Source organism: Homo sapiens, chromosome 19 (genome assembly GCF_000001405.40).
Source record: "Homo sapiens chromosome 19, GRCh38.p14 Primary Assembly".
Taxonomy (NCBI): Eukaryota; Metazoa; Chordata; class Mammalia; order Primates; family Hominidae; genus Homo; species Homo sapiens.
The window spans coordinates 18126502-18149062 of NC_000019.10; the positions used below are offsets into that span (position 1 = coordinate 18126502).

Consider the following 22561-nt stretch of genomic DNA (forward strand, 5'->3'; position numbering starts at 1 on the left):
TAGCTCACACTTGTAATCCCAGCACTGTGGGAGGCCAAGGCAGGAGGATCACTTGAAGCCAGGAGTTTGAGACCAGCTTGGGCAACATACTGAGATCTCGTCTCTATTAAAAAAACAATTAGCCAGGCATGATCGCACATGCCTATAGTCCTAGCTACTTGCGGGGCTGAAGTGGGAAGACTGCTTGAGCCCAGGGGTTTGAGGCTGCAGTGAGCTATGGTCGCACAACTGCACTCCAGCCTGGGTGACATAGCAAGACCCCATCTCTACAAAAAGTAATTTTTTTTTTTCTTTTTTGAGACAGAGTCTCGCTCTCTCGCCCAGGCTGGAGTGCAGTGGCACGATCTTGGCTCACTGCAAGCTCCGCCTCCTGGGTTCACGCCATTCTCCTGCCTCAGCCTCCCGAGTAGCTGGGACTACAGGCGCCCGCCACCACGCCCGGCTAATTTTTTGTATTTTTAGTAGAGGCGGGGTTTCACTGTGTTAGCCAGGATGGTCTCGATCTCCTGACCTCATGATCCGCCCGCCTCTGCCTCCCAAAGTGCTGGGATTACAGGCGTGAGCCACCGCGCCTGGCCTACAAAAAGTATTTTTAAAAATTAGCCAGGCGTGGCGGTGAATGCCTGTAGTCCCACCTACTTGAGAGGCTGAGGTGGGAGGATTGCTTGAGTTTAGGAGACTGAAGCTGCAGTGAGCCATGATGGCACCACTGCACTCCAGCCTGGGTGACAGAGCAAGAGCCTGTCTCTGAAATAATCATACTTGGCCGGGTGCGGTGGCTCACGCCTGTAATCCCAGCACTTTGGGAGGCCAAGGCGGGCAGATCACCTGAGGTCAGGAGTTTGAGACGAGCCTGGCCAACATGGTGAAACCCTGTCTCTACTAAAAATACAAAAATTAGGCTGGGCGTAGTGGCTTATACCTGTAATCCCAGCACTTTGGGAGGCCGAGGCAGGCGGATTACCTGAGGTCAGGAGTTCAAGACCAGCCTGGCCAATGTGGTGAAACCCCATCTCTACTAAAAATACAAAAGTTAGCCAGGTGTGGTGGCAGGCGCCTGTAATCCCAGCCACTCGGGAGGCTGAGGCAGGAGAATCTCTTCAACTCAGGTGGTGGAGGTTGCAGTGAGCCAAGATCTCGCCACTGCACTCCAGCCTGGGCGACAGAGTGAGACTGCGTCTCAAAAAATAAAAATACAAATACAAAAATTAGCTGGGCATGGTGGCACACGCCTGTAATCCCGTCTACTTGGGAGGCTGAGACAGGAGAAGCACTTGAACCCAAGAGGTGGAGGTTGCAGTGAGCTGAGATCACACCACTGCACTCCAGCCTGGGTGACAGAGCGAGACTCCATGTCAAATAAATAAATTAAATAATCATACTAATAAAAAATAAAGCTGAGGAAACTGAGGCTCCAGGCAGATAAGGCTGAGCAGGGAATCAAACCCAGGTGTACCTAAGGCCAGATCACATGTGGTCTGTGGCTGGACCATGTTTGCCAGGCATTCGCTAGGGGCTGCCCCTCTGCCAAGGCCTGGGGCAAGAACATATTGGACCCTCCACCTGGGCTGCACCCTGAGCTGAGGAAGATGTTAGGAGCTGACACCCAGGGGGCCTGTGTCTCATCCCGTCTTCACAGGCTCAAGGCTCAGAGCCTAAGTTTGATCATGACTGAGCACTTCAGAGCCAGGGCAGCCCACTGGCCCTTCTAGAAGGTTCCTAAGTCATTGCTTCATCCAGCCTCCCGGATGTGGCTTCATGACAGTGTCATGAGAGCTGGTCAGGGGAGGCACTGCATCCCCAGCCTGGGGTGAGAACTCTAGAGGCCTCAGGAAATTGCTGGGTGATGCAGGGTGAGGCAGGGAGGCTCCAGCTGAGCCTCCTCCCTCATCTTGCAGAGATGGTGCCACTGAGTCACCTCGAAGAAGAACAGCCCCCAGCACCTGAGTCCCCAGAGGTGAGTAGCAGAGGCTGGGGGACCCCCGCTCATCTTGTTCTTTCCAGAGTGGACCAGGCACCCGCAGAAAGGGCTGGGTTTGCCGAGGTCTTGCATGTAGCTTAATTAGCATCGGTGACTTTGGAGGCAAGGTGACGGCACGTGGGACTGCCCTGCCTTGGAAGTCGGGTGGGGGCAGTGCTGGAGGGGCACTGGACAGGTGAGTTTTGCAGGACGTGTAAGAATTTCCCAGGAGGAGGGCACAGCTGTGAGCAAAAAAGTACAGAAAGTCAGAAGCTGAGTTGGAGAAGTTTGGACAGGGGAGGAGGTAGCATCGGGCACCAGGACCAGTGGTTTGGGCTTGGGGGCAGGAGAAGCCTTCCCAGCTCTGCAGCGGGGCAGGACCCTAAGCCCTTCCCATCCCCTAGAGCCGCGCCCTGGTCGGCCAGTCACGGAGGAAGCCATGCGAAAGCGACTTTGAGACCATCAAACTCATTAGCAACGGAGCCTATGGGTGAGTCCCTGAGTCCTGCATAGACCCATTTCACAGATGCCTGAGGGGATGGTTGAGGCCCAGGCAGCTCCTGCATCCCCCTCCTACCCCAGCAGGGCTCACACATTCATCCTTGAATGGGCAGAGAAGGCACCTGAGGACTGGAGGGGGAAGTGGAGACACGCCATAGCGAGGTTACAGCCTCATGTGTGCTCTGTCCACGAGCCAGGCCTTTACCTGCCCCAGGTGTAGGGCGTTCTAGGGGCTTGGGGGCTGATCAAGGAAATAGATGCCCACCCAGTGGGAGTAGCACGCAGTGAGCTTTATTTAGGTGCTGCTTTGAATGGCAGGCTTGCATACAAGGGAAGTCCCTCATAGCATAAGCCTTTTGGAGGCTGAGGTTCCAGGAGTCACCATCAAGAGGGAGAGGCCGGCAAGGGAACTCCCCGGGCAGAGGGGGATCAGAGAGGGGGCTTACATGTCTAGGTGATGTTGTTCAACAGCATGGGCACTCAATCTCTGGGTCAGAGACTCCCTGCAGGGTGGTAGCAGCTTAGGGTCTTGAAATCCACAAAGTTCATCTTATCCATGGCTCAGAGATGGTGCAGTTTCACGAGTCTGCAAAGCAGACAGGCTCTCAGTGGCTAAAATTTTGCTTACTTGGTCTGTGTGTAAAACAAACGGATGTGTAAAACTTTGAGTTTGGTGCTAGCGGTCTTTTAAAAGAGCTAGACCAGGTGCGGAGGCACTTTGGGAGGCCAAGGTAGGAGGATCGCTTGAGGCCAGGAGTTCGAGACCAGCCTGGGCAACATGGCAAAACTCCATCAATACTAAAAATAGAATAATTAACTGGGCGTAATGGCACATGCCTGTAATTCCAGCTACTTGGGAGGCTGAAGTTGGAGGATCACCTGAACCCAGGAGGCAGAGGTTGCAGTGAGCCGAGATCACCCCACTGCACTCCAGCCTGGGTGACACAGTGAGACCATCTCAAAAAAAAAAAAAAAGGAAAGAAAGAAAGAAAGAAATACACAAGCAGCCAGGTGCAGTGGCTCTCGCCTATAATCCCAGCACTTTGGGAGCCCGAAGTGGGAGGGTCACTTGAGGCCAGGAGTTTGAGACTAGCCTCCACAACATAGCGAGACCCCATCTCTACAAAAAATTTAAACATTAGCCAGGTTCTGTTGTGGGAGGATCATTTGAGCCGGGGGGGTGGTAAAGACTATAGTGAGCCGTGATCTCATGACTGTGCTCCAGCCTGGGCAACAGAGTGAGGCGCTATCTCAAAAAACATAAGATAAAATAAAAATAAAAGAAACATACAACCTAGAGGCCAATATACAAGGGCCATGTGCAGCCCATTTATATGGCCCCCAGCCATGGTGGCTTAAACCCAAAGGTGGCTGCTCTGGGAGGGGGAACAGGTAAGGAGAATGGGTGGCCCAGGTGGAGGGCACAGCACAGGCAAAGGCCAGGCAGGTTGGGATCTGGGCTCAAGTTGAGCTGTAGTGCCTGCTGGGGCCTCGATCTCCGGTCCCAGCAAGCCTGGCCCTCTGTCCCCAGGGCCGTCTACCTGGTGCGGCACCGTGACACACGGCAGCGCTTTGCCATCAAGAAGATCAACAAACAGAACTTGATCCTGCGTAACCAGATCCAGCAGGTCTTTGTGGAGCGTGACATTCTCACCTTTGCCGAGAACCCCTTTGTGGTCAGCATGTTCTGCTCCTTTGAGACCCGGCGCCACCTATGTATGGTCATGGAATACGTGGAAGGTACGCTCACTGGGGCTTGCATGCCTCCAGCGATGGGGAGCTCACCCCTCCACGCCTGGGAGAAAATTTTTAGACCAAGTTGAGGTCTGTTCTGTCCTCCATGAGGTCTCACCCTGCTTTGGGGAACCCTCAGGAACCCCAGTCTGGGGTAGGGAGCCCAGCCATGGGGGTTTAGGGCTGGAGGAGCCCAGACAGGAGTGTGTGAGGATGGGACCCTGGAGGCAAGAGGAGGGTGGCCATCCTAGGTGGGGGGAACTGATGGGCAGAGGCCTGGAGACCAGAAGTGAAGGCAGGGAGATGTATGGTTCAGGCAGGTAAAGTACTATTACCAAAGTACTGCCAGGCGAGAGAGCGAACATGCACTTAGGAGACACCAGCTGTATACAGCACTAATTGCTGCCCTGTCGGGGAGAATCAGAAGGCAGGGTCTCAGCTTGGCGCGCTGGCTCACGCCTGTAGTCCCAGCACTTTGGGAGGCCGAAGTGGGCTGATCGCTTGAGGTCAGGACTTCGAGACCAGCCTAAGCAACATGGCGAAACCCCCATTCACGCCTATAGTCCCAGCTACTCGGGAGGCTGAAGCAGGAGATTCGCTTGAACTCTAGAGGCGGAGCTTGCAGTGAGCCGAGACTGCGCCACTGCACTCTAGCCTGGGCAACAGAGCGGGCAACAGAGTGAGACTCTGTCTCAAAAAAATAAATAAAAATTTAAAAAATAGGCCAGGCGCGGTGGCCAACGCCTGTAATCTCAGCACTTTGGGAGGCCAAGGCTGGTGGATCACGAGGTCAAGAGATCGAGACCATCCTGACCAACATAGTGAAGCCCCATCTCTACTAAGAATACAAAAATTAGCTGGGTGTGGTGGTGTGCGCCTGTAATCCCAGCTACTCTGGAGGCTGGGGCAGGAGACTCGCTTGAACCCGGGAGGCGGAGGTTGCAGTGAGCCGAGATCGCGCCACTGCACTCCAGCCTGGCGACAGAGCGAGACTCTCTCTCAAAAAGAAGAAAAAATTAAAAAATTAAAAATAAATGAAGGTAGGGTCCGCCCCTTCCCTCTCCCCCGACCCTCCCCGCTGAGATAGAACAAACTGGGGACCTTTTGCAGGAGGTAAAGCGAGGAGGATGCATAGGCATTGGGCATAACCTAAGGGGCGGGCGGGGGGCGGGGGTGCCCCGGGCCTCATGACTACATCCGCCCTTCTCCCAGGCGGCGACTGCGCCACGCTCCTGAAGAACATGGGCCCGCTGCCCGTGGACATGGCCCGCCTGTACTTCGCCGAGACGGTGTTGGCGCTGGAGTACCTGCATAACTATGGCATCGTGCACCGTGACCTCAAACCAGACAAGTGAGCTGAGCTAGCATGAGCGGGGCCTCGCGGAGGGCGGGGCCAGAGAGGATCAGGGGCGGGGCCAAAGAGGATCAGGGCAGAGCCTCTGAGGTGCATCCCGGGACCCTTCAGGAGCCCCATCTGTCTGAGCTCTGTTGGTACCTCCTGACAGGAAGGCAGGGAATGAGCGCATGGTGAACATCTTGTGTGTACAGAGGAGAGGAGAGCAGACACTTAATAGGCGTCTGCTGTATGCAGGGGAAGGCCGGTGCACTTATGGAGGTGCTGCCAATCCAGGGGAGAGGATGTGCACTTAGGATGCACACACTGTATACAGGAGAAGGGGCTGCGCACCCAGAGCTGCTGCTGCACAAGGGGAGAGAACATGCACTTATAAGACACCAACTACACACACAGAACAGGATTATGCAATTTGCGAGACCTTACATGTAAAGACAGTGACCGTGCATGTCTTGAGCACCTGCTGTATATTAGTGCAGGAAAGCAAGGAAGAGAACGTGTTTACTGAGAGCCTTAGGATGTTTATTTTATTCTGGTAGGTGGTAAGCACCTACTGCATGCCAGACCCTCTGTGGGCAACTGGGAGACACAGGGCCACCTGCTTTGAAACCCCTGTATTATTTTCTCCTCTGCATTTATTGAGCGCCTGCTGTGTGCAGGGAAAAAGGAATGCCTGTTTGTCAGGTGTCCTCGAGATACGAGGCAAGAACTGACATTTCTCACATACATGTGTGGAGATGTGAACATGAGTGTTAAGAGCCTTGCATGTAGGCCAGGCTTGGTGGCTCACACCTGTAATCCCAGCACTTTGGGAGGCCAAGGCGGGCGGATCACCTGAGGTCAGGAGTTCAAGCCCAGCCTGGCCAACATAGTGAAACCTTGTCTCTACTAAAAATACAAAAATCAGCTGGGAGTGGTAGCGCGCACTTGTAGTCCCAGCTACTCAGGAGGCTGAGGCAGGAGAATCTCTTGAACCCGGCGGAGGTTGCAATGAGCCAAGATCGTGCCACTGCACCCAAGCCTGGGCGACAGAGCGAGACTCCATCTTAAAAAAAAAAAAAAGCGCCTCGCATGTTTTCAGGGCATTTTGCAGTTGGCAAGTGGCTTAGAAAACAGACATGTATGTGGCACCTGCTGTATACTTGGGCCTGTGCTCGATGCTCTAAGGAACTCAGAAGCATGAATAACTCCTTACACACTAACGTTGGGTTTCTATATCACATTTTCTTGGTTGGCATGTACTTGTTAGGCACCAGGTGTATACAAAATAGGCAGAAGAACAGTTATTAGGCAATGACTGTGTACCTGGCCCAGAACACTTTATCTTTATTTATTTATTTATTTTTTGAGACAGGGACAGTCTTTGTCGCCCGGGCTGGAGTACAGTGGCGCAGTCTTGGCTCACTGCAACCTCCGCCTACCGGGTTCAAGCAATATTCCTGCCTCAGCTTCCCGAGTAGCTGGGATTACAGGCATGCGCCACCACTACGCCCAGCTAATTTTTTTTTTTTTTTTTTTTTTTGAGACGGGGTCTCACTCTGTCGCCAGGCTGGAGTGCAGTGGTGCGATCTCGGCTCACTGCAACCTCAGAGTCCCTGGTTCAAGCGATTCTCCTGCCTCAGCCTTCCAATTAGCTGGGATTACAGGCATGCGCCACCACGCCCAGATAATTTTTGTATTTTTAGTAGAGACGGGGTTTCACCATGTTGGTCAGGCTGGTTTTGAACTCCCGACCTCAGGTGATCTGCCGGCTTCGGCCTCCCAAAGTGCTGGGATTACAGTTGTGAGCCACTGCGCCCGGCAAATGAACTCATTTTTAAAACTCTCACGCAAGTACAGTATATACTGCTGTTTAGGTTTTCCTATGGACTTAAATATATAAATGTTTTGCTACATCATAGTGTCTTATGCACCAGCTGTATGAAGTCGCATTTCCGTGCACCTTCTGGGTGCATCTGCCACTTAAAAATACATTCCAGAGAATTCACTGTGTATAACCATCATTTAATGAACTATGTAGTCAGTACCTCCTGTTTGCTCCAGCTCTGTAAAGAAACAATTCTGTGCCGGCACTTTGGGAGGCCGAGGCAGGTGAACTACCTGAGATCAGGAGTTCAAGACCAGCCTGACCAACACGGCAAAACCCCGTCTCTACTAAAAGTACACTAAAAAAATATATATATATATACACACACACACATATACGCACACACAGTAGAGACCAGGCATGCTGGCTCACACCTGTCATGCCAGCACTTTCAAAGGTGGGAGGATTGCTTGAGGCCAGCAATTCAAGACCAGCCTGGGCAACATAGCAAGACCTTATGTCTACAAAAAAAACCTTAGCTGGGTGTGGTGGTGTGCACCTGTAGTTCCAGCTACTTGGGAGGCTGAGCAGGAGGATCGCTAGGGCCCAGGAGTTGGAGGCAGAGCTCTGCCCATCTCAGGCGGAGCCAAGGTCTAGGGCAGAAGGGGAGGCCAGGCACCCCAGCCCCCCAGCTCTGAGCACACTCCTAACCTGCCCACAGTCTGCTCATCACCTCGCTTGGCCACATCAAGCTCACGGACTTCGGCCTGTCCAAGATCGGCCTCATGAGCATGGCCACCAACCTCTATGAGGGCCACATCGAGAAGGACGCCCGAGAGTTCATCGACAAGCAGGTGGGCGGGCAGGTGGGTGGGCAGCCCCGGGATGCCTCCTCCTCTCTCCTGGGACCTCTCTTGGGCTGGGGGCTGGCCTCAGTTTCCCCGTTCTCCCTGGCCCAGGTGTGTGGGACGCCGGAGTACATAGCCCCCGAGGTGATCTTCCGCCAGGGCTATGGGAAGCCAGTGGACTGGTGGGCCATGGGCGTCGTCCTCTATGAGTTTCTGGTGGGCTGCGTGCCTTTCTTTGGAGATACCCCCGAGGAACTCTTCGGTCAGGTGGTCAGCGGTGCGTTTCCTCCACGGGCCTGGGTTTGAGCTGCAGCCCCACCAGAGCTCTGGGCAGCGGTCCTCCACCCGCATGTCAGGGAGAGAAGCAGGAAGAGGGGAGGGAGTTGGATGCCAGGTGGGGAGGCGGTGGGGTGCTGAGTGAGGCGGGTGGCTGGATTAATTATAGGGTCACAGAGGCTTCACTGAAGTGACTTGTGAGGCTGGGCACAGTGGCAAACACCTGTAATTCCAGCACTTTGGGAGGCTGAGGCGGGAGGATCATATAAGGTCAGGAGTTTAAGACCAGCCTGGACAACATGGTGAAACCCCATCTCTACTAAAAATACAAAAATTAGCCGAGCATGGTGGCGGGCACCTGTAATCCCAGCTACTTGGGAGGCTGAGGCAAGAGAATCACTTGAACCCAGGAGGCAGAGGTTGCAGTGAGCTGAGATTGTGCCACTGCACTCCAGCCTGGGTGACAGAGCGAGACTCCATCTCAAAAAATAAAAAAAAGAAGTGACATGTGAGCAGAGACCTGCAAGAACCTGAGAATGAGAGAAAGCCATAGAGACAGAAAAGAGAAAGGTGGCTCTGAGCATAGGGCACAGCTGTGGCAAAGGCTGTCAGTGGGTACCAAGCCTGCCACGTTGCAGGGGCAGAGGAGGCCAGTGGCTTGGAGTACAGTGAAGTGAGGGGAAATGGTGGATGGTACTAGAAAGGGGTACCCTGCCTTCTCCCTCCCTCCCTCATTTTACCTCCCTCCCTCATTTTAGATGAGATCATGTGGCCAGAGGGAGATGAGGCCCTTCCAGCAGACGCCCAGGACCTCATCACCAGGTTGCTCCGGCAGAGCCCGCTGGACCGTCTGGGCACTGGTATGTAGTGTGGGGGAGAACCCAGGTGGGTGGCTCCTTCAGGCCCTGGGACCCAGGGAATGGAGGGATAGCGCCCGGGGTAGACAAGAGTTCTACTTGGGAAGCTGCATGGAGGAGGGGGTTTGCAGCTAGGGTTTTGAAGGATGCACAGGAGTTCTCCAGGAACTATCACAAGACCTTGGAAAGAATAGAAAGTAGCTGGGTCTGGTGCCCATATGGAGCACTGAGCCTGAATAAGTGTGTGAGGCTGTAAAGTCACCAGGACCTGTGTCAAAGGCCCAGCCCAGAAGATCCCACTGTCCCAGTTTTCCCAGCCACCTGGTTAATCATTAAGGGACCGTTTGAGACTCATGCAGCCACCCATCACGTGGCCACTATGGCTCCTGTTCATGACTGAGGCTTTGCTATGGGAGACGGTTGGGTCCAAGGTCGGGGATCATCACCTGCTCTGTGGAGCAGAAGTGGGAGAAGCCCGGGAAGGAGGCCCTCGTAAGGCTCTGGGCTTTCTCTAGGCGGTGTGGTCCCAGATGGCAGCAGAGAGAAGGGCAGAATCTTTGGAACCTGGGCAGCCTGGGTGCTTTTTTATTTTTTTGAGATTAGATCTCACTCTGTCACTCAGGCTGGAGTGGAGTTGCACAATCTTGGCTCACTGCAACCTCCGCCTCCCAGGCTCAAGCGATCCTCCCACCTCAGCCTCCCGAGTAGCCGGAACCACAGGCATGTGCCATCATGCCCGGCTAATTTTTATACTTTTGGTAGAGACGAAATTGAGACGAAATTTCACCATGTTGCCCAGGCTGGTCTCAAACTCCTGACCTCAAGTGATCTGCCCGCCTCAGCCTCCCAAAGTGCTGGCATTACAGGCATGAGCCACCATGCCTGGCTGCTGGCCTGGGTTTGAATCCTGGCTTCGTCCCTCTCCAGGCTCCTAAATGACAGCGGATTTTTGTTCCCATTTTTCTGGTTCTTTGTTGTTGTTGTTGTTGTTGTTTTTTGAGACAGAGTCTTGCTTTGTTGCCCAGGTTGGAGTGCAGTGGTGCTATCTCAGCTCACTGCTGCAATCTCCACCTCCCAGGTTCGAGCGATTCTCTTGCCTCAGCCTCCCGAGTAGCTGGGAATACAGGCACCAGCCACCACACCCGGCTAATTTTTGTGTTTTTAGAAGAGATGGGGTTTTGCCATGCTGGCCAGACTGGTCTCGAACTCCTGACCTCAGGTGATCCTCCCTTCTTGGCCTCCCAAAGTGCTGGGATTACAGGTGTGAGCCACTGCGCCCGGCCCATTTTTCTGGTTCTGTGTTGTCCCTACTATGTGTCCAGCATGGGCAGTGGGGGTAGGGGGGCATCCTGTGGCGGGTGAGGTGAGGACCTGCAGGGCTCAGCGGGGCATATCTGCAGGTGGCACCCACGAAGTGAAGCAGCACCCCTTTTTCCTGGCCCTGGACTGGGCAGGGCTTCTCCGACACAAAGCCGAGTTCGTGCCCCAGCTCGAAGCTGAGGATGATACCAGCTACTTTGACAGTAAGGAGGGATCCCCCTGGAGGGGGGGCGGGGGGTGCTCTGCCATCCCTCAGTCCCTGGGGGCAGAGGGCTGTGTGCCAGGCATTCCACCCGAGCTTGGCACCTCACCTTAGGCCTGGAGCTTCCGACTTCCTGAGCCTTCCAAGAATCTAGGGCGTGTGTCGGCCGCCCCCTGGCTGGATTTCCTGTGTGTCTGGGCTCAGGAGGCCACAGCATCCCTCAGGCTTCAGAAGGAGAAACCAAGGCACCAAGTGTGGCAGACCCTTGTCTGGGGTTCCCCAGCAAGTTGGGCCTCCTGGGTGTCCGTCCCTGACCAGGCATGGGGCCCCATCTGTTACCCAGGAGGGTAGGGCGCCTAGTGCAGCTTTTTTGGAGGCGTCCCTGCAGGGGCACTGTAGGTGAGCTCTGAGGAATGACTCTCTCTCTCCCCACTTGGGGTTCCTGCCCTTCAGTGTCCAGCACCTCCTTCAGAACTTGCTTCATGTCAGAGGTCTTCTCTGAGCTTCTGTTTCCTCTTCTGTAAAATGAGGAACATCCTTTATGTTGGAGATGCACAATTTTGGCCAGGCGCAGTGGCTCAAGCCTTTAATCCCAGAACTTTGGGAGGCTGAGGTGGGCAGATCACCTGAGGTCAGGAGTTCGAGACCAGGCTGCCTGACCAACATGGAGAAACCCCATCTCTACTAAAAATACAAAAAATTAGGCAGGCATGGTGGTACATGCCTGTAATCCCAGCTATTTGGGAGGCTGAGGCACGAGAATTGCTTGAACCCAGGAGGTGGAGGTTGCAGTGAGCTGAGATGGCACTATTGCACTCCAGCTTGCGCAACAAGAGCAAAACTGCCTGAAAAAAAAAAAAAAAAAAAAAGATGCGCAATTTTACCTAATTCTGTGTGACCCATTTCAAGGAATCACTGAAGCTCAGAAATAGGAATTCCCGCCCCTGGTCCCACAACCTGTTTTTTTTTTTTTTGAGACGGAGTCTCACTCTGTCGCCCAGGCTGGAGTGCAGTGGCGCGATCTCGGCTTACTGGAACTTCTACCTCCCGGTTTCAAGCAATTATCTGCCTCAGCCTCCCGAGTAGTCGGGATTACAGGTGCCTGCCACCATGCTTGGCTAATTGGTCCCACAACTTTTTAATTATTTATTTTTTGAGATGGAGTCTTGCTCTGTCACCCAGGCTGGAGTGCAGTGGTGCGATTTCGACTCACCACAACCTCTGCCTCCCGGGTTCAAGCGATTCTCCTGCCTCAGCCTCCCAAGTAGCTGGGATTACAGGCGCTTACCACTACTGCCCAGCTAATATTTGTATTTGTAGTAGAGATGGGGTTTCACCATGTTGGCCAGGCTGGTCTCAAACTCCTGACCTCAAGTGAGCCACCCACCTTGGCCTCTCAAAGTGCTGGGATTACAGGCGTGAGCCACCGCACCCGGCCCCACAACTTTTTAGGGACACAGCTGGTGTTGATCCCCAGATATCTGCTCTGCCGCCCAAGCCTCCCGTGGTCCTTAAACACACCAGGCACTGTCCCACCTCAGAGCCTTTGCCCTGGCAGTGACCCTATCCTGAGATGCCCTCCCCGTATTGCCACACCGCCCTTGAGATCATCTCTGGGCATCAGGCGTGCTGCATGTGCCTCTCCCTCCCACAGCACGTTCGGAACGTTACCGCCATCTGGGCTCCGAGGACGACGAGACCAATGATGAAGAATCGTCCACAGAGATCCCCCAGTTCTCCTCCTGCTCCCACCGGTTCAGCAAGGTGGGCCCGGGTCCCGAGGGGAGCCACTGCTCAGAAAACATTGCATGATGTCTGTTTGCTTTCGTATCTGTTTTTTGATTTTGCTTTGTTTTGTTCTGTAGAGATGAGGTCTTGCTATGCTGCCCAGGCTGGTCTCCAACTCCTGAACTCAAGTGATCCTCCCACCTCAGCCTCCCAAAGTGCTAGGAATTGTATTGGTTTTTTGTTTTGTTTTGTTTGAGATGGAGTCTCGCTCTGTTGCCCAGGCTGGAGTGCAATGGCGCAGTCTCGGCTCACCGCAACCTCTGCCTTCCAGGTTCAAGCGATTCTCCTGCCTCAGCCTGCCGAGTAGCTGGGATTACAGGCGCATGCCGTCACGCCCAGCTAATTTTTGTATTTTTAATAGAGATGGGGTTTCACCATGTTGGCCAGGCTGGTCTCAAACTCCTGACCTCAGGCTATCCTCCTGCCTCAGCCTCCCAAAGTGCTGGGATTACAGGCATGAGCCACCACACCTGGTCAAATTTTTTTGTATTTTCAGTAGAGATGGTGTTTCACCATGTTGGCCAGGCTGGTCTCAAACTCTTGACCTCATGATCTGCCCGCCTCGGCCTCCTAAAGCGCTGGGATTACAGGCATGAGCCATCGCACCCGGCCTTGTATTTTTTTATTTTGTTTTGTTGTTTTAATTTGCTTTTGTTTTAGCCATTTTTTTTTTTTCTTTTTTTTTTTTTGAGACAGAGTCTCGCTCTTTTGCCCAGGCTGGAGTGCAGTGGCGTGATCTCTGCTCACTGCAAGCTCCGCCTCCCGGGTTCACGCCATTCTCCTGCCTCAGCCTCCCAAGTAGCTGGGATTACAGGTGCCCGCCACCACGCCCGGCTAATTTTTTGTATTTTCAGTAGAGACGGGGTTTCACCGTGTTAGCCAGGATGGTCTCGATCTCCTGACCTCGTGATCCACCTGCCTCGGCCTCCCAAAGTGCTGGGATTACAGGCGTGAGCCACCGTGCCCGGCCTGTTTTAGCCATTTTAAGGCAATTTCCGAGGCAGGCGGATCACTTGAGGTCAGGAGTTCAAGACCAGCCTGACTAACATGGTGAAGCCCTGTCTCTACTAAAAATACAAAAATTAGCCAGGCGGTGGTGGGTGCCTGTAACCCCAGCTACTCGGGAGGCTGAGGCAAGAGTATTGCCTGAACCCCCAGAGGTGGAGGCTGCAGTAAGCTGAGATCACAGCGCTGCACTCCAGCCTGGGCGACAGAGCGAGACTCTGTCTCAAAAAATAATGATAATAATAAAGTGTACAATTTCGTGGCATTCAGCACATTCATAATGTTGTGCAACCATCACCTCTATCTAGCTCTCAAATGTTTGATTCCCCCAAAAATTTGTACCCATTAGCAACCACTCCCCATTTGTCCTCCTTCAGCTTCCATCTTTATGGATTTGCCTGTTCTGGGCATTTCATATCAATGCAATTCACACTATGTGGCCTTTTGGGTCTGGCTTCTCTTACTCAGCATCACGTACTCAAGGCTCATCCCTACTGCAGTGTGGACCAGTGCTTGCTTCCTTTTTATGGCTGAGTAATATTCCATCATATGGATGGAACACATTGTTTATCCACCCATCTTTGATGCACATTTGGGTCTATTCCACCTTGTGAATACAGGTACCATTTTAGTTTATTTACTTATTTATTTATTTATTGAGATGGAGTCTTGCTCTGTTGCCCAGGCTGGAGTGCAATAGTGCAATCTCAGCTCACTGCAACCTCCACCTTCTGGGTTCAAGCGATTCTCCTGCCTCAGCCTCCCGAGTAGCTGGGATTACAGGTGCGCGCCACCACACCCGGCTAATTTTTGTATTTTTAGTAGCGACCAGGTTTCACCATGTTGCCCAGGCTGGTCTCAAACTCCTGTCCTCAAGCGATCCGCCTGCCTCAGCCTCCCAAAGTCCTGGGATTAAAGGCATGAACCACCGCACCTGGCCCTGGATGTTATTTTATAACCTCACGAGCTTAACTTACATTCCCTACTTTTTTTATGATCTGATCAAAAAATGCTCCACTCTGCTTTAGGCCTGGGCCCCAGGCAGGACTTTCTAGTCAACAGCAAAAACGCAGCTTGGTAGCCTGGCCCCTGAGCCTCAGTTTTTCCATCTGTACAATGGGCTAAAGTCTATGCTCTTTTAGGGATGTGGGGAGTGAGGATTTAGAGAAGTGACTCATACTGAAGCAACTGGTACATAGGAATCACTGGACTAAGCCAGCTTTCTTTTTTTTTTTTTGAAACAGAGTCTCGCTCTGTCTCCTAGGCTGGAGTGCAGTGGCACAATCTCGGCTCACTGCAACCTCCGCCTTCTGGGTTCAAGCCATTCTCCTGCCTCAGCCTTCCAAGTAGCTGGGACTACAGGCATGTGCCACCACGCCCAGCTAATTTTTGTATTTTTAGTAGAGACGGGTTTTCACCATGTTGACCAGGCTGGTCTTGAACGCCTGACCTCAAGTGATCCGCCCACCTCAGCCTCCCAGAGTGGTGGGATTACAGGCATAAGTCACCAGGCCTGGTCTAAGCCAGCTTTCTTGCCACCTTTGTTACTGGTTTTTTTGTTTGGGTTTCTTTTTTTTTCTTTTTTTGAGACAGGGTTTTGCTATGTTGCCCAGGCTGGTCTCAAACTCCTGGGCTCAAGTGATCCTCCCAGCTGGGCCTCTGAAAGTGCTGGGATTACAGGCATGAGCCACCGCACCCGGCTTACCATTCTTTTGTCTTGCCTCCCAGGTCTACAGCAGCTCTGAGTTCCTGGCCGTCCAGCCCACTCCTACCTTCGCTGAAAGGAGCTTCAGTGAAGACCGGGAGGAGGGGTGGGAGCGCAGCGAAGTGGACTATGGCCGCCGGCTGAGTGCTGACATCCGGTAAGTGGCCTGGGGAAGTGTAGGCAGATCCAGCTTCCAAGCCTGCTGGGAGGTAGAGACACAAAATCTGATGCAAAGGGAGCTTCCTAGTGGCCAAGTAGAAAAGGGTCAAACATATTGACCAGCCTATCAGGTCCCTGGCAACCTTGCTCCCTTTGGCTCTGTGTTCCTCACCATGCAAACATAAAACAGCTGTGTACCATCATGCTGCTAGGCACACTTTTCCTTCTGTCCAGAATGCCCTTTGCTTACTAACTCCTGTTCATCCTTCAAAGCTCAGACCCAACAGAAACAGTCAATGTCTGCTAGAGGATGGGTGTTGGAAGCTGGCCTTTTTTTTTTTTTTTTTTTTTTGAGACGGAGTCTCGCTCTGTCGCACAGGCTGGAGTGCAGTGGCGCAATCTCGGCTCACTGCAAGCTCCGCCTCCCGGGTTCACGCCATTCTCCTGCCTCAGCCTCCCGAGTAGCTGGGACTACAGGCACCTGCCACCACACCCGGCTAATTTTTATATTTTTAGTAGAGACGGGGTTTTGCCATGTTAGCCAGGATGGTCTCGGTCTCCTGACCTCGTGATCCGCCCTCCTCAACCTCCCAAAGTGCTAGGATTACAGGCGTGAGCCAATGTGCCCGGCCTTTTTTTTTTTTCTTTTTTTAAGAGACTGGTTCTCACTCTGTCTCCCAGACTGGAGTGCAGTGGCACGATCATAGCTCACTTCAGCCTCAGACTCCTGGGCTCAAGAGATCCTCTCAAGTAGCTGGGACTACAGGCGTGCACCACGGCACCCGGCTAATTTTTTAAGCAATTTTTTGTAGGCCAGGTGCAGTGACTTACACCTGTAATCCCAACACTTTGGGAAGCCGAGGCAGGTGGATTACCTGAGGTCAGGAGTTCAAGACCAGCCTGGTCAACATGGCAAAACCCCATCTCTACTAAAACTCCAAAAATTTAGCCGGGCATAGTGGTGCACGCCTGTAATCCCAGCTACTTGGGAGGCTTAGGCACGAGAATTGCTTGACCCTGGGAGGCGGAGGTTACAGTGAGCCAAGATCGTGCCACTGCACTCCGGCCGGGGTGACAGAGCGAGACTCTGTCTCAAAAAAAAAAAACAAAACAAAAAACAAAAAATTGCAGAGATGGGGTCTCCTTATGTTGCCCGCCCTGGTCTCGAACTCCTGGCCTCAAACAATCCTCCTGTCTCAGCCTCCCAAAGTGCTGGAATTATAGGTGTCAGCCACTGCACCCAGCCTGGAAGCTGGGTTTTAAAAGTTGAATAGGAAGCCGGGTGCAGTGGCTCACGCCTGTAATCCCAGCACTTTGGGACCCCAAGGCAGGCAGGTCACTTGAGCTCAGGAATTCAAGACCAGTCTGGCCAACATGGTGTAACCCCGTCTCTACTAAAAATACAAAAATTAGCCCAGTGTGGCGGCAGGCACCCATAATCCCAGCTACTTGGGAGGCTGAGGCAGGAGACTCACTTGAGCCCTGGAGGCAGTGGTTGTAGTGAGCTGAGATTGCACCACTGCACTTCAGCCTGGGTGACAGAGTGAGACCCTGTCTTTAAAAAAAAAGGTGAATAAGCGGTCTCCAGGTGGACAGAGAGGACAGTGCAGACAGAAGGAACTCGTCCTGTCTATGCAAATTACCCTTGACTGCAGACTGAGAGTTAAGATGTGGCCATGAAGGTGGCTGAGTATCCTGGGGTGCAGGTGCCTGGCAGGGGTGATGCAGGCTCTTCCTCCCTGCAGGCTGAGGTCCTGGACATCCTCTGGATCCTCCTGTCAGTCATCTTCGTCCCAGCCCGAGCGGGGTCCCAGCCCATCTCTCCTGAATACCATCAGCCTGGACACAATGCCCAAGTTTGCCTTCTCATCAGAGGATGAGGGGGTAGGCCCAGGCCCTGCAGGCCCCAAGAGGCCCGTCTTCATTCTAGGGGAGCCTGACCCCCCACCAGCGGCCACCCCAGTGATGCCCAAGCCCTCGAGCCTTTCTGGTAAGTGGGGCCCTGAGTAAGAGGGATGATGTCATGGAAGTTTCCCAGAGGAGGGGCTATTTGAGATGGGTTTTCAAGGATGAGTAGGAGTTCTCCAGAGCCAACAAAGGCTTTAAGAGAGGAGAAGCCAGGGTCCCAGAGAGACCCCCAGCCCCCAAGGAACCCCAGTCTAGGGTAAATGCCCCCAGCTTCATAGAGTCAGGATGGGACCCCTAGCTCCCAAGATGGGGGAACTAAGGGTCTAAATGGGTGTGGAGGAAGGCTTCCTGGAGGAGGGGACTTGAAGACTTTTGCATAGAGAATAATTTGGGAAGGGAGTGCAGGAAGAGGGAACTGCATGAGCAAAGGCCAGGAGGCTGGACTGTGTAAATAGTGACCAGGGAGGAAGGGCCTTAAGGTCCCTTTAGGACCACATGGTGAGTTTGAGGGGCACCCAGCTGACCCTGCTGACCCTCTAGCCGACACAGCTGCTCTCAGCCACGCCCGCCTACGGAGCAATAGCATCGGCGCCCGACACTCCACACCAAGGCCTCTGGATGCCGGCCGGGGCCGCCGCCTTGGGGGCCCAAGAGACCCAGCCCCTGAGAAGTCCAGAGCCTCCTCCAGCGGTGGCAGTGGTGGCGGCAGTGGGGGCCGCGTGCCCAAGTCAGCCTCTGTCTCTGCCCTGTCCCTCATCATCACGGCAGGTAATGCCCAAGGCCCCTCTCACCTTTGTCTGTCTGCACCCATTTTCACCAACAGGGTGGGGGCCCTTCCTGAGTTGGGGAGGCTGGGGATGAGCCCCAGAAGAGGGGAGGAGGAGTAGGACACATGGAGAGCTGGGGAGATGGTGTTCCCAGTAGAGGGCACTGCACGTGCAAAGGCCTGGTGGGGTGACCATGCTTGGGACATTGAAGCAACAGCAAAGTGGCCAGGGTGGTCGTTGTGGTGGGAAAGAGGGGGCCCCAGGGGAGACCTGTGAGGGAGTGAGTGACCCCCTCCCTAACCCCCTGCAGATGATGGCAGCGGCGGCCCCCTCATGAGCCCCCTTTCCCCGCGCTCTCTGTCCTCGAACCCGTCGTCCCGTGACTCTTCGCCGAGCCGAGACCCGTCCCCCGTGTGTGGCAGCCTGCGGCCCCCCATCGTTATCCACAGCTCTGGCAAGAAGTACGGCTTCAGCCTGCGGGCGATCCGCGTCTACATGGGTGATAGCGACGTCTACACTGTGCACCACGTCGTCTGGGTGAGTGCCGAGTGGGAATGGCAGGGACCCGGGTTCTAGTTTGACTCTGCCCGGTCATGTCCCTTCTCAGAGCTGCATTTTGGAGCCTGGCAGGGTTAGGTAGATAGAGCTGGTGCCACCGAGTTCATCTCGGTCCCTGTCATTTGGCAGGGAGGAGGTCAGATGAGAGAGACAAGGATGGATGGATGGAAGCTCACAGATCCCAAGTGGCATTAACCTCCCAGCTCCATATGGGGACGCACTGGGCATGTTATCCTCCCTCTCCCAGCCCAAGGGCGTCGAGGCATGCCCTCCCTATTGGTTGCTCCCTGAACAGACACAGAAGGCTTTCTGGAGAAGGGGGCGTAGGAGCTGGGGCTTTGATGGGTGAGTAGGAGTTCCCCCAGGATCAGGGAAACTGAGACAGCACAAGAGGCAGCAGCTTGCTGGGGTCCCACAGCAGACCCAGCCTGGGCTGGGGTCCCCAGATGTGGGGCCCAGGCCATTGACCCCACCGTTCTCGTCTGCCCCCAGAGTGTGGAGGACGGAAGCCCCGCCCAGGAGGCGGGCCTGCGGGCTGGGGACCTCATCACCCACATCAACGGGGAGTCAGTGCTGGGGCTGGTGCACATGGACGTCGTGGAGCTGCTGCTGAAGGTGCGGCACCCCCACTGCCCACCCTCAGGGCTCCCCAGCACCCCTTGGCCGCAGCTCCCGGTTCCCCGTGGTTCTCCGCGTCCAGACACACAACCCCACATTCAATGTCAACTCCAGGCCTGGCACATCCACTTCCTTCGGCCCAGAATACATGTCCTTCTTCAGCCCCCAACATCACCCCTTAGAGCTGCTCCTCCAGGAAGCCCTCCCTTCTCCCTGGGCACCCTCACATCTGTTCCTCCCTCTGGCCTGAGGCCTGGAGGTAGGAGATGGGCTCAAGACAGGAGGAAGGGCCGGGCGCGGTGGCACACGCCTGTAATCCCAGCACTTTGGGAGGCCGAGGCAGGATGATCACCTGAGCTCAGGACTTTGAGACCAGCCTGGGCAACAGAGCGAGACCCCCATCTCTGCAAAAAATTAAAAAATAAAATTAGCTAGGCATGGTGGCATGCGCCTATAGTCCTAGGTACTTAGGAGTCTGAGGTGAGAGGATCGCTTGGGCCGAGGAGGTTGAGGCCATAGTGAGCTGTGATCGTGCCATACTGCACTCCAGCCTGGGACACAGAGTGAGACCCTCCCTGGTTCTAAAAAAATAGAGGGCTCTCATGTGGGCAGCTGCATGGGTGGTTCATTGAATAGCTGGACACTGGGTAGGTGTCTTTGGCCTAATGACTCATGGGCCATTAGGTGAGTGATTGGGGGATGGGGAGATGTTGGGGTGATTAATGGGTGGATACCAGATAGGTGGGTGACAGACCCCGGGAGGGTGGAGAGTGAAGAGGGCAGGCCTCGATCGGCGTTGACCGCAGAGGGAAGGATCTTAGCAGGAGGGGTGGTGCTCCCTGGGCTATTGTTTGACCGGATATATTGGGTAGGTCACTGGTTGTGTGGATGAATGGATGCTGGGGTGGTGGGTCCCAGCTGGTGCCCGGAGTGAAGGGGACATAGCAGCTGCCTGGCAAGTGCTGGGCCCTGTGAGAGGCACAGAGGCAACCCCTCACCATCCCTCCCGCAGAGCGGCAACAAGATATCCCTGCGGACCACAGCCCTGGAGAACACCTCCATCAAGGTGGGCCCCGCCCGGAAGAATGTGGCCAAGGGCCGCATGGCACGCAGGAGCAAGAGGAGCCGTCGGCGGGAGACCCAGGATCGGTGCGCGGCAGTGACCACCAGGGAGCGGTACACAGGGGGCGGGGCCACGGGGACTGGGGTTCTTTTTTTCTTTTCTTTTTCCTTTTTTTTTTTTTTTTTTTTTTGAGACAGAGTCTTGCTCTGTTGCCCAGGCTGGAGTGCAGTGGCTCAATCTCGGCTCACTGCAACCTCCACCTCCCGGGTTCAAGCGACTGTCCTGCCTCAGCCCCCTAAGTAACTGGGACTACGGCGTGCACCATCATGCCCAGCTAATTTTTATATTTTCAGTAGAGACAGGGTTTCGCCATGTTGGCCAGGCTGGTCTCGAACTCCTGACCTTAAATGATCCATCTGCCTCGGCCTCTGAAAGTGCTGGGATTACAGGTGTGAGCCACCATGCCTGGCCAGGAGCAGGGGTTCTGAAGCCTCCGGTTTTCTTACCCCAGGCGGAAGTCACTTTTCAAGAAGATCTCCAAGCAGACCTCCGTGCTGCACACCAGCCGCAGCTTCTCCTCCGGACTCCACCACTCACTGTCATCCAGTGAGAGCCTCCCCGGCTCGCCCACCCACAGCCTCTCCCCCAGCCCCACCACTCCCTGCCGAAGCCCAGCCCCTGATGTCCCAGCAGGTGGGTGCACCCCGACCCCCCACCACCCCGGCTACCCTGGGAGCAAGGGCTGGTGGGCCCCAGGAGGGAGGAAGGAGTTCAGGGGATGGAATGACACGATGTAGGGAAAAAGATGACCGGGATCCTGGTGTCTAGCAGGGAACCTGGGAGTACTTAGAGACGAATGCAGGTGCCAGGGAAGGATGCACCCAGCAGAGGAAACATCATGGACAAATGGGGCTAGACAGGAGGGTGGGAAAACTGAGAAGAGGCCAGGCACGGAGGCTCACGCCTGTAATCCCAACACTTTGGGAGCCCGAGGCAGGAGGATCACTGAGCCCAGGAGTTTGAGACCAGCCTGGGCAACACAGGGAGACCCCATCTGTACAAAACATAAAAAAATTAGGTGGGTGTGAGGCCGGGCATGGAGGCTCACACCTGTAATCCCAGCACTTTGGGAGGCCGAGGCAGGTGGATCACCTGAGGTCGGGAGTTCAAGACCAGCCTGGCCAACATGGAGAAACCCCGTCTGTACTAAAAATACAAAATCAGCCAGGTGTGGTGGCACATGCCTGTAGTCCCAGCTACTAGGGAGGCTGAGGCAGGAGAATCGCTTGAACCCAGGAGGTGGAGGTTGCGGTGAGCCGAGATTGAGCCATTGCACTCCAGCCTGGGCAACAAGAGCAAAACTCCATCTCAAAAAAAAAAATTAGGTGGTTGTGGTGGTGCACACATGTGGTCCCAGCTACTCTGGAGGCTGAGATGGGAGGCTCACTTGAGCCCAGGAGGTCAAGGCTGCAGTGAGCCATGATTGCACCACTGCACTCCAGCCTAGGCAACAGAGTGAGACCCCATCTCAAAAAACAAAAGGGAAAAAAAAAAAGAAAACAGAAGTGATACAGAGAAGGCTTTCTGGAGGAGGGGGAGTAGGAGCTGGGGCTTTGATGGGTGAGTGGGAGTTCACCAGAGCTAGGCCAAGGAAACAACCCTGAGCAGGAGGCAGAAAAGTCTGGCATGAACCAGGCATGATGGCTCATGCCTGTAATCCCAGCACTTTGGGAGGCCAAAGCAGGCGGATCACTTGAGGTCAGGAGTTTGAGACCAGCCTGGCCAACATGGTGAAACCCCAACTCTACTAAAAATACAAAAATTAGCCAGATGTGGTGGCACATGCCTGTAGTCCCAGTTACTTAGGGGGCCGAGGCACGAGAATCATTTCAACCTGGGAGGTGAAGGTTGCAGTGAGCCAAGATCATGCCACTGCACTCCAGCCTGGGTGACAGAGCGAGACTCTATTGAAAAAAAAAAAATTAGCCAGCCATGGTGACGTGCACCTGTTGTCCCAGCTACTCAGGAGGCTGAGTTGTGAGGATCACTTCAGCCCAGGAGGTTGAGGCTATGATTGAGCCAGTGCACTACAGTCTGGGCAACAGAGCAAGACCCTGTCTCAAAAACAAAA

The 22561-nt window shown here is 54.4% G+C and overlaps 1 protein-coding gene and 1 long non-coding RNA gene across 43 annotated transcripts in view, besides 2 other annotated features; one reads left to right on the top strand and one right to left on the bottom strand.

Annotated features, from left to right (window-relative positions):
- Positions 1-22561, top strand: part of MAST3 (microtubule associated serine/threonine kinase 3) — a 53910-nt gene that overhangs the window by 28724 nt on the left and 2625 nt on the right. For 21 of the 42 annotated variants that reach the window (XM_047438476.1, XM_047438480.1, XM_047438477.1 and 18 more), the window contains 16 exons: positions 1899-1957; positions 2365-2450; positions 3993-4201; positions 5408-5546; positions 8078-8210; positions 8316-8481; positions 9239-9340; positions 10738-10860; positions 12514-12623; positions 15381-15514; positions 17262-17506; positions 17965-18192; positions 18502-18728; positions 19242-19364; positions 20380-20516; positions 20942-21123. In XM_047438476.1, coding sequence (XP_047294432.1) covers positions 1899-1957; positions 2365-2450; positions 3993-4201; positions 5408-5546; positions 8078-8210; positions 8316-8481; positions 9239-9340; positions 10738-10860; positions 12514-12623; positions 15381-15514; positions 17262-17506; positions 17965-18192; positions 18502-18728; positions 19242-19364; positions 20380-20516; positions 20942-21123 — 2403 coding nt within the window. Of the gene's footprint in view, positions 1-1898; positions 1958-2364; positions 2451-3992; positions 4202-5407; positions 5547-8077; positions 8211-8315; positions 8482-9238; positions 9341-10737; positions 10861-12513; positions 12624-15380; positions 15515-17261; positions 17507-17964; positions 18193-18501; positions 18729-19241; positions 19365-20379; positions 20544-20941; positions 21124-22561 lie in introns of all 42 variants that reach the window. The other 21 variants (NM_001393501.1, NM_001393502.1, XM_047438474.1 and 18 more) reach the window with 2 other exon arrangements.
- LOC124904650 (uncharacterized) lies at positions 12588-17267 on the bottom strand. Its single transcript, XR_007067153.1, has 3 exons — positions 17160-17267; positions 15358-15559; positions 12588-12649 (listed from the first exon to the last, which is right to left on the bottom strand). It is a non-coding gene; the product is annotated as an uncharacterized LOC124904650 (long non-coding RNA).
- Positions 18780-19281: an enhancer, noted in NCBI's record as "H3K27ac-H3K4me1 hESC enhancer chr19:18256091-18256592 (GRCh37/hg19 assembly coordinates)". NCBI's record gives its function as "activates a minimal SCP1, AML or CMV promoter by ChIP-STARR-seq in naive and primed H9 embryonic stem cells {active_cell/tissue: H9 hESC(naive and primed)}" and the evidence as "EXISTENCE:reporter gene assay evidence [ECO:0000049][PMID:30033119]".
- Positions 19282-19782: an enhancer, noted in NCBI's record as "H3K27ac-H3K4me1 hESC enhancer chr19:18256593-18257093 (GRCh37/hg19 assembly coordinates)". NCBI's record gives its function as "activates a minimal SCP1, AML or CMV promoter by ChIP-STARR-seq in naive and primed H9 embryonic stem cells {active_cell/tissue: H9 hESC(naive and primed)}" and the evidence as "EXISTENCE:reporter gene assay evidence [ECO:0000049][PMID:30033119]".